A 10,423-nucleotide genomic window follows, 5' to 3' on the forward strand; every position below is an offset into this window, starting at 1 on the left:
AACATGATGAAACTCCATCTCTACTAAAAATACAAAAATTAGCCGGTCGTGGTGGCGTGTGCCTGTAATCCCAGCTACACGGGACGCTAAGGTGGGAGAATCACTTGAACCTGGGAGGCGGAGGTTATGTAGTGAGCCAAGATTGCATCATTGCACTTCAGCCTGGGCAAAAAGAGCGAAACTCCGTTTCAAAAAAAAAAATGAGGCCAAGTGCAGTAGCTCACGCCTGTAATCCCAGCACTTTGGGAGGCTGAGGCGGGCGGATCACCTGAGGTCGGAAGTTCAAGACCAGCCTGGCCAACATGGAGAAACCCCGTCTCTACTAAAAATACAAAAATTAGCCGGGCGTGGTGGTGGGCGCCTGTAGTCCCAGCTACTCAGGAGGCTGAGGCAGGAGAATTGCTTGAACCCCGGGGGCGGAGGATGCAGTGAGCCAAGATCACGCCATTGCACTCCAGCCTGGGCAACAGAGAGAGATCCTGGGAGGCAGAGGTTGCGGTGAGTCGAGATCATGCCATTGCACTCCAGCCTGGGCAACAAGAGAGAAATTCTGCCTCAAAAAAAAAAATAATAATGTGGATAGATAATTTATTCTCATCCATTAGTTCTATTAGTTCACTAATTCTCCCTGAAGCTGCACTAATCTGCTGTTAAAGCCACCGATTGATGGGTTTAGTTATTATACTTTTCATTTCTGAAACTTCTACTTGGTCTTCTAAATAACTCCCATTTCACTTATTCCCGTAACTGTTACCTGTGGATATTTTCAAGTTCATTTATTTCTTTGACAATAGTAATATGGCCAACTGCTGGTGGTGCACACCTGTAATCCTAGCTACCCAGGAGGCTGCAGCAGGAGGATCATTGAGCCCAGGGGTTCAAATCTAGCCTGGGCAACATAGCAAAACCTCACCTCTAAACTTTTTTTAAATTAGAAAAATAGTAATCATGAACATTTTATACTGTCTTATATAATTCAAGAATCTGAAGTCTGTGTGTATCTGAAGCCTGTGTGATTTCTGCTGCTTCTTACCTATGGTGACTTGTTTTCTTATGTGCTTAAAAAATATAACTATCTTCAGAGGAAAAATGTAGAAATAATTAGAAAGGATTTTTTTTTTTTTTTTTTTTTTTTTTTTTTTTTTTTTTTGGAGACAGAGTTTTGTTCTCGTTGCCCAGGCTGGAGTGAAATGGCTTGATCTCGGCTCACCGCAACCTCCGCCTCCTGGGTTCAAGTGATTCTCCTGCCTCAGCCTCCCAAGTAGCTGGGATTACAGGTATACCCGCCACCACACCCAGCTAATTTTGTATTTTTAGTAGAGACGGGGTTTCTCCATGTTGGTCAGGCTGGTCTTGAACTCCCGACCTCAGGCGATCTGCCCACCTTGGCCTCCCAAAGTGCTGGGATTACAGACGTGAGCCACCACGCCTGGCCAGAAGGATATACATATATATATGTCATCCTCAAGAAAGTAATTGTATTAATTTTGTGAAAGTTGTCAGAATCAAAATGGAGTCACAAATGTTAAGAAAACCCTGATGAGTAGAGCCAGGGATGACTATGAAGAGAGTTTCACACTTGTATGCCTGATAATAAAAAAGACTCTACAAAAACTACAGTGTAGCCACAATGGGCATTGTAGTCTTCCACACATAAACATATTTCTGCAAAAAAATCTGCCCAGCAACTAATTTCCTGTCTAACCTCAGACTGGTGTCACCTTTGTTACTGATATTTGTAACCAGGATAACTGTTTCAAAACCATTATGTAATTCTTATTTTTTCCTTTAAAAAGGTTTGTCAGGAAGACCTGCTTGGGACCCCTCTCTGCAGCAGAGAGCTTTTCTCTTTCTTTCGCCTATTAAACCTCCGCTCTTGGCCAGGCACAGTGGCTCATGCCTGTAATCCCAGCACTTTGGGAGGCCAAGGAGGGCAGATCATGAGGTTAGGAGTTCGAGACCAGGTTGGCCAATATGGTGAGACCCTGTCTCTACTAAAAAAACAAAACTTACCCTGGCGTGGGGGTGTGCGCCTGTAATCCCAGCTACTCGGGAGCCTGAGGCAGGAGAATCACTGGAACCTGGGAGGCAGAGGTTGCAGTGAGCCAAGATCGTGCCACTGCACTCCAGCCCGGGTGACAGAGCAAGACTCTGTCAAAAAGAAAAAAAAGGCCAAGCGCAGTGGCTCACGCCTGTAATCCCAGCACTTTGGGAGGCTGAGTTGGGTGGATCACCTGAGGTCAGGAGTTCAAGACCAGCCTGGCCAACATGATGCAACACCACCTCTACTAAAAATACAAAAATTAGCTGAGCGTAGTGGCGTGCGCCTGTAGTCCCAGCTACTTGGGAAGCTGAGGCAGGGGAATCGCTTGAACCCGGGAGGTGGAGGTTGCAGTGAGCCGATCACGCCTCTGGACTCCAGCCTGGGAGACAGAGCAAGACTCCGTCACAGAAAAAAAATAAAGAAAAAGAAAAGAAAACCTCACTGTTAACCTCAAAAAAGATTTGTCTTTCATTATGTCCCTAAATACACACATCAGTTACTTGTAGCATGCATATTCCCATTTCAATGCTCTATTCACAAATAAACGTCTTTTCCTTTAGAAAGCATGTTTCTGTTTTTTATTTAAGTTGACATATATGGTGTCGGAAGTGAGATCTGAACAGTATCACTACAGGAAGGAATCAGCAATCTTTGGAACTGGTGTGCAGTATATATTTGAACTCTTTGAGATCTCTGCTTCAATAGCTCACCTTTTCTACCCTGGTGAGTCTTCTCTCAGGCTGAGTCTTTTTACTGTGGCACAGACTTTTGACATGGTTTAGGATCTGTTTTGGATAGGGCCACCTTAATAAAGGACCATAGGTTCCTCCTGGGATGATAAAAGACCTTTTTGTCTTTTTTGGTAAGTCCTTTCTGATATAAAGACAAGTGTCTTTCTGAATTGATTAATCTTGGTTTCTACAGAAATTTACCTTCTGTCTGTGAGGCATATCTTTTCTGGTTTGTGCACCTAATCTGATATTTTGTTTGATCTTCCAGCCTAGGTTAAAATTTTTGTGAATACACTTATCTTGGTTTCTTTTGATTTGGCTTGACTCTTTTCCCTTGCTTGCTTCTGAAAATCTTCTGGTGGCAAAAATAAACATTCTGGATGGTGGTTACAGGATGGCTAATTAAAAAGGGGATGCCCTGCCTATGGAGTAGCCATTCTTTTATTTTTTTACTTTAAAAAAAAAAATAGGCTAGGCGCAGTGGCTCACTCCTGTAATCCCAGCACTTTGGGAGGCCAAGGCAGGTGGATGACTTGAGGTCAGGAGTTTGAGACCAGCCTGACCACTATGGTAAAACCCTGTCTCTACAAAATACAGAAATTAGCTGGGCCTGGTGGCGCACACCTGTAATCCCAGCTACTCGGGAGGCTGAGGCAGGAGAATCACTTGAACCTGGGAGATAGAGGTTGCAGTGAGCCAAGATCGTGCCATTGTACTCCAGCCTGGGCAATAAGAGTGAAACTCAGTCTGAAATAAATAAATAAATAAATAAATGAAATAAAACAAAAACCCACTTTGGGCCAGGCATGACAGCTGATGCCTGTAATCCCAGCACTTTCAGAGGCTAAGACAGGAGGATAGCTTGAGGCCAGAAGCTCAAGACAAACCTGGGCAACATAGCAAGATCCCATCTCCCATTTTTTTCAAATGCTGGAGTGCAGTGGTGTGACCTCAGCTCACTGCAACCTCTGCCTCCCAGGTTCAAGCAATTCTGCCTCAGTCTCCCAAGCAGCTATTACAGGCACACACCACCACGCCCAGCTAATTTTTTTGTTTGTTGGTTGGTTTTTTTTTTGAGACGGAGTCTCGCTGTCACCCAGGCTGGAGTGCAGTGGTGCGATCTCAGCTCACTGCAGGCTCCGCCTCCTGGGTTCACGCCATTCTCCTGCCTCAGCCTCCCACGTGGTTGGGACTACAGGCACCCACCACCACGCCCGGCTAATTTTTTGTATTTTTACTAGCGATGGGGTTTCACCATGTTAGCCAGGATGGTCTCGATCTCCTGACCTCGTGATCTGCCCGCCTCGGCCTCCCAAAGTGCTAGGATTACAGGCGAGAGCTACCACGCCCGGCCTTGCCCGGCTAATTTTTGTATTTTGTAGAGACAGGGTTTCACCATGTTGACCAGGCTAGTCTCGAACTCCTGACCTCAAGTAATCCGCCCACCTCGGCCTTCCAAAGTGCTGGGATTACAGTCATGAGCCACTGTACCCGGCCAAAATTTTTTAAAAATTAGCTGGGAATGGTGCCACACACTTGTAGTCCTAGCTACTTAGGAGGCTGAGGCAGGAGGATTGCTTGAGCCTAGAAGTTAGAAGCTGCAATGAGCTATAATTACACCCCTGCAATCCATCCTAGGCAACTGAGACCTTCTGTAAAAAAAAAAAAAAAAAAAGGAAAGGAAAAGAAAAAAGAAAAGAAAGAAAAAGCCACTAGGGCAGTTGCCACCATGTAAAACACTGGTCTAAACTTCTGATAATCCCTGACAGGATTTACAGGATTTTCTTTGCTCTCCAGAGATTAATAAGAGATGAAATGAGATTCTAAAATATTAAAGCAAGCTAGGTTTTCAGGGACTCCAGCTGGCTATATATTATGGCCTGTTCTTACGCATATTTTTAAATGAATGGGCAATTACAGGAAGGAAAATTCAAAGCTCAAATGGTCATTATTTGAAAAACCTAGAACTATAGAGATAACATAGAGAATCTTCTAAGTTTTCTCTATTTTTTTCTGCCTACTTTTTTTTTTTTTCTTTTTGAGATGGAGTCTCGCTCTGTCGCCAGGCCGGAGTGCAGTGGTGCGATCTCGGCTCACTGCAACCTCTGCCTCCTGGGTTCAAGTGATTCTCCTGCCTCAGCCTCCCTAGTAGCTGGAACTACAGGTGCCCACCACCATGCCCAGCTAATTTTTTTTTTTTTTTTTGAGACAGAGTTTCGCTCTTGTTGCCCAGGCTGAGGTGCAATGGCACGATCTCGGCTCTTCACAACCTCTGCCTAACAGGTTCAAGCGATTCTCATGCCTCAGCCTCCCGAGTAGCTGGGATTACAGGAATTTACCACCACGCCTGGCTAAGTTTGAATTTTTAGTAGAGGCAGGGTTTCTCCATGTTGGTCAGGCTGGTCTCGAACTCCCAACCTCAGGTGATCCGCCTGCCTCGGCCTCCCAAAGTGCTGGGATTACAAGAATGTACCACCACACCTGGCTCAGTTTGAATTTTTAGTAGAGGCGGGGTTTCTCCATGTTGGTCAGGCTGGTCTCAAACTCCCGACCTCAGGTGATCCACTGCCTCAGCCTCCCAAAGTGCTGGGATTACAGGCGTGAGCCACCATGCCCAGGCTTTTCTGCCTAGTTTTAATCTGCTGACTTCTACTAGTGTTGAGAGAAAATTCACTGCTTACGGCATTCCAGCAATTTTTTTTTGAGACAGAGTCTTGCTCTGTCGCCCAGGCTGGAGTGCAGTGGCGCCATCTTGGCTCACTGCAACTTCCGCCTCACAGGTTCAAGTGATTCTCTCACCTCAGCCTCCTCAGTAGCTAGGATTATAGGCATGTGCCACCACACCCGGCTAATTTTTGTATTTTTAGTAGAGACGAGGTTTCACCATGTTGGCCTGGCTGGTCTCAAACTCCTGACCTCAAGTAATCCACCCGCCTCAGCCTCCCGAAGTGTTGGGATTACAGGTGTGAGCCACTGCACCCAGCCCAGATCGAGCTTTCATATTGAAAATATATTAATGCAAAACTAAAAAAAAATTTTTGGTTCCCTATGTTGAAACAACAAGGTTTTCTTAAAGTACTGATTTAATTTACTCTTGGTAAAATAGCAAGAGCTTTTGATTTTTAACTCTGAAATCTGGTTCTACAACAGCCATCTTCTAAACTACAGAGTTTCTATTTCTTCCTTACATCTAATTAATTTCCCAGGCCAGCTGTGGTGGCTCACACCTGTAATCCCAGCACTTTGAGAGGATCACTTGAGCCCAGTAGTTCAAGGCCAGCCCTGGGAACATAGGGAGAATCTGTCTTTACAAAACATAAATAAATTAGCTGAGTGTGGTGGTGCACGCCTGTCGTACCAGCAACTTGGGAGGCTCAGGTAGGAGGATAACTTGAGCCTGGGAGGTGGGGGTTGCCATGAATCATGGCTGCACCACTGCACTCCAGCCTGTGTGACAGAGCAAGACCCTATCTCAAAAAAATAAATAGGCCGGGCACAGTGGCTCATGCCTGTAATCCCAGCACTTTGGGAGGCCGAGGCGGGTGGATCACCTGAGGTCAGAAATTAGAGACAAGCCTCACCAATATGGGTGAAACCCCCTCTCTATTAACAATACAAAAAGTGGCTGGGTGTGGTGGTGGGCACCTGGATTCCCAGCTACTTGGGAGGCTGAGACAGGAGATGCTTGAACCTGGGAGGCAGAGATTGCAGTGAGCCGAGATCACGCCACTGCACTCCAGCCTGGGTGACAGGGCGAGACTCCATCTCAAAAAAATAAATAAATAGGCTGGGGGCAGTGGCTCATGCCTGTGATCCTAGCATTTTGAGAGGCCAAGGCAGGTGGATCCCTTGAGGTCAGGAGTTGGAGACCAGCCTGGCCAACATGATGAAACCCCGTCTCTACTAAAAATACAAAAAAAATTAGCCAGGCATGGTGGTGGGCGCTTGGATTCCCAGCTACTTGGGAGGCTGAGGCAGGAGAATCGCTTGAACATGGGAGGTGGAGGTTGCAGTGAGCTGAGATCACACAGCTGCAGTCCAGCCTGGGCGACAAGACTAAAACTCCATCTCAAAAATTTTTTTTAAATAATTAATTAAACTAATTTAAAAATTAATTTCCCTAGTTTCAGATTGAAAATGCTGTCTTTGCTTATGACCAGCCTGGGTGACATAGCAAGATCCTGTCTCTACTGATAAAAAGAACCAAAAAAAAAGAAAAAGAAAATGCTGTCTTTTTCATTCTGATTGGTAATTTTATTTCTTTATACATATATATGTATTTTATTTATTATTTATTTATTTATTTATTTATTTATTTAGAGATTGGTCTTGTTCTGTTGCCCAGGCCGAAATGCAGTGGCACAATCATAGCTCACTGCAGCCTTGAACTCCTAGGCTCAAGCAATCCTCCCACGTCAGTCTCCTAAGTAGCTAGGAGTACAGGCATGAGCTACCACACCCAGCTGTCTTAGGTAAAATTGTTCCTTTTGAGACTTCTCAGATTTATATTTCAGAAGCTCAACGTTTGCTGTACCGTACTGCATATGCTTTTCAGGTCATATATCACTGCCTTCTGTTTTTTCTCAACTTGCAAAGGTATAGCTTTATGTTTGGCTGAGGTGCTAACATCAACCTGTCAATTCCTGTAATTTTTTTTTTCTCCTAAGTCTGCTGTTATGGTCTGATGTTGAAATGTTTCTCTTGAAGGTCTAGAAAAGCAGGGTTTTCTTACGGTTTAACTGGATTCTGTACTCTTGGGTTTTCTTGATGTGTCTGAATTGTTCCATGTAACTAGGAAATGTCCCATGCTGATACTAAGAGCCCTGTACTCTCCTGCTTGTGGTATTACTTTTCTAGCTTACCTTCCTCTCATATACATTCCTCTAATAATATAATGTACACTTATAACACTGGACTCAGTCTTCCTGTGTCTAATTAAATTAAAGTGCCTCTTCCATCAGGTTTGACTTTCAGGGCATCTAAATGGGCTTCCCATATGGACATATGGAAAAGCATTTCCACTACAGGAAGTTTTTCTTTACCTTTCTGGTAACTGGCCTAAAAAAAAAATGACATTACATTTTATCAAGATAATTCCTGCATTGCCTTTTTTCTTCTTTTGAGATGGAGTCTCGCTCTGTCACCCAGACTGGAGTTCAGTGGTGCAATCTTGGCTCACCGCGACCTCCGCCTCCAGGGTTCAAGCAATTCTCCTGCCGCAGCCTCCCGAGTAGCCGGGGTAATTTTTGTATTTTTTTTTAGTAGAGATGGGTTTTTGCCATGTTGGCCAGGCTGGTCTCAAACTCCTGACCTCAAGTGATCCACCCATCTTGGCCTCCAAAAGTGCTGGGATTACAGGCGTTGAGCCACCGCACCCAGCCTCTGCATTGTCTTTATTAAGTTTTTGATTACTTTAGAAAACTGAGCTTTAAAAGGGTTAAGGTTTTTTACCATGTAACTTCTGTATTGCTTTTGAAGTATTTTGATTTCCATTCTGGTTAAATGAGTATTATTTTACAGTGACCTGTGATTCTGTTTTGATTAAGTATTTTTAACCTTTTGACATCTTTGGCAGGCTTTTTCAGGGTCAGATTAAGTTTTTTTGATGTCGAATTAACTTTGGGATTTTTCTAGTTGGACCCCTGGAGAACCTCAAAGAATGTAACACTCAACTTGTATAGATAATAAGTGATTAGATTTATTTGGTTAATTGCATGGGAGGAATTGTCAAATAAGTGATGCTGGATCTTTTTTTTTTTTTTATGGAATAAAAGAATGGCTACTACATAGGCAGAGCAACCTGGATCATCTTTAAGTTAAATTTATAAGTATGTTATTGATATTAGTGTTTCAAAATTATGTAAATGCATATAAATCTAATGCCATCAGGTATTATTTTGTCATGTTAAACCTTATCTAAAGTTATATCTGTATGGGTATGTTATTAATGTGAGTATTCTAAAGATTATATAACATTTATAAAAGTCTGATGATCCTCATGTGATGCTGTCATTCATGGCTCTGGCTGTTCTCTTAAATACTGCTTGTAATAAACATAACTACATTTTCCTGCCAACTGGGAACTTTCATCAGATTTTAACCAAGACTACTCTAAGTTGTTGTTATTCACAGCTATTGTTTTGAATTCTTCTCCAAAAGCATTTGTAATCAACTATAGACCAAGACCAAGATTGCTTTTCATGGAAGAGACTCTAACAAGTCTTTATTTTTTGAGATGGAGTTTCGCTCTTGTTGCCCAGGCTGGAGTGCAATGGCGTGATCTTGGCTCACCGCAACCTCTGCCTCCTGGGTTCAAGTGATTCTCCTGCCTCAGCCTCCCGAGTGGCTGGGATTACAGGCATGTGCCACCACACCCCGCTAATTTTGTATTTTTAGTAGAGACAGGGTTTCTCCATGTTGGTTAGGCTGGTCTCGAACTCCCAACCTCAGGTGATCCGCCCACCTAGGCCTCTCAAACTGCTGGGATTACATGCGTGGGCCACCGCGCCTAGCCTTTGTTTTTTGTTTGTTTGTTTTTTTGAGACGGAGTTTCACTCTTCTTGCCCAGGCTGGAGTGCAGTGGCATGATCTCAGCTCACTGCAACCTACGCCTCCCAGGTTCAAGCGATTCTCCTGCCTCAGCCTCCCAAGTAGCTGAGATTACAGGCACCCGCCACCATGACCAGCTAATTTTTGTATTTTTAGTAGACATAGGGTTTCACCAAATTGGCCAGGCTGGTCTCAAACTCCTAACCTCAGGTGATCCACCCACTTCAGCCTCCCAAAGTGCTGAGATTACAGGTGTGAGCCATAGGAGCCACAGCACCTGGCCTCTTTTTTTTTTTCTTTTCTTTTGAGACAGGCTCTTGCTTTGTCACCCAGGCCACAGTGCAATGACATTATCATGATTCACTGCAGCCTTGACCTCCTGGGTTCAGGCAATCCTCCTGCCTCAGCATCCCAAATAGCTGGAACCACAGATAAGGGCCACCATGCCCGGCTAATTTTTAAATTTTTTTGTAGAGATGGAGTCTCACTTTGTTGCCCAGGCTTGTTTTGAACTCCTGGCCTCAAGTGATCCTCTCACCTCAGCATCCCAAAGGTGAGATTATAGGCATGAGCCACCACACTCAGCCTACAAGTACTCTTGAACACAGAGTTCTGATAACTTTAAGATCAATGGACTAGGCCGGGCGCGGTGGCTCACGCCTGTAATCCCAGCACTTTGGGAGGCCGAGGTGAGCAGATCACAAGGTCAGGAGTTCAAGACCAGCCTGACCAACATGGTGAAACTCCATCTCTACTAAAAATACAAAAAAATTAGCCGGGCGTGTTGGAGCACACCTGTAATCCCAGTTACTTAGGAGGCTGAGGCAGGAGAATCACTTGAACCCGGGAGGCGGAGGTTGCATTGAGCCAAGATCACATCACTGCACTCTAGCCTGAGCGACAGAGCAAGATTCCGTCTCAAAAAAAAAAAGAAAAAGAAAAACAATGGACTAAACAAAAATTTCCAGAACACTAATAAGGAAATTGATGGGTTCATGTAATTGATTATCAAGATTCAAGCAAAACAAAAAATTAATTACAGGAAATAAAGTTATGAATGAAGATAGTGTTTTTATGGCTTTTATTTAAAACATTATAG

Source organism: Homo sapiens, chromosome 1 (genome assembly GCF_000001405.40).
Source record: "Homo sapiens chromosome 1, GRCh38.p14 Primary Assembly".
NCBI lineage: Eukaryota > Metazoa > Chordata > Mammalia > Primates > Hominidae > Homo > Homo sapiens.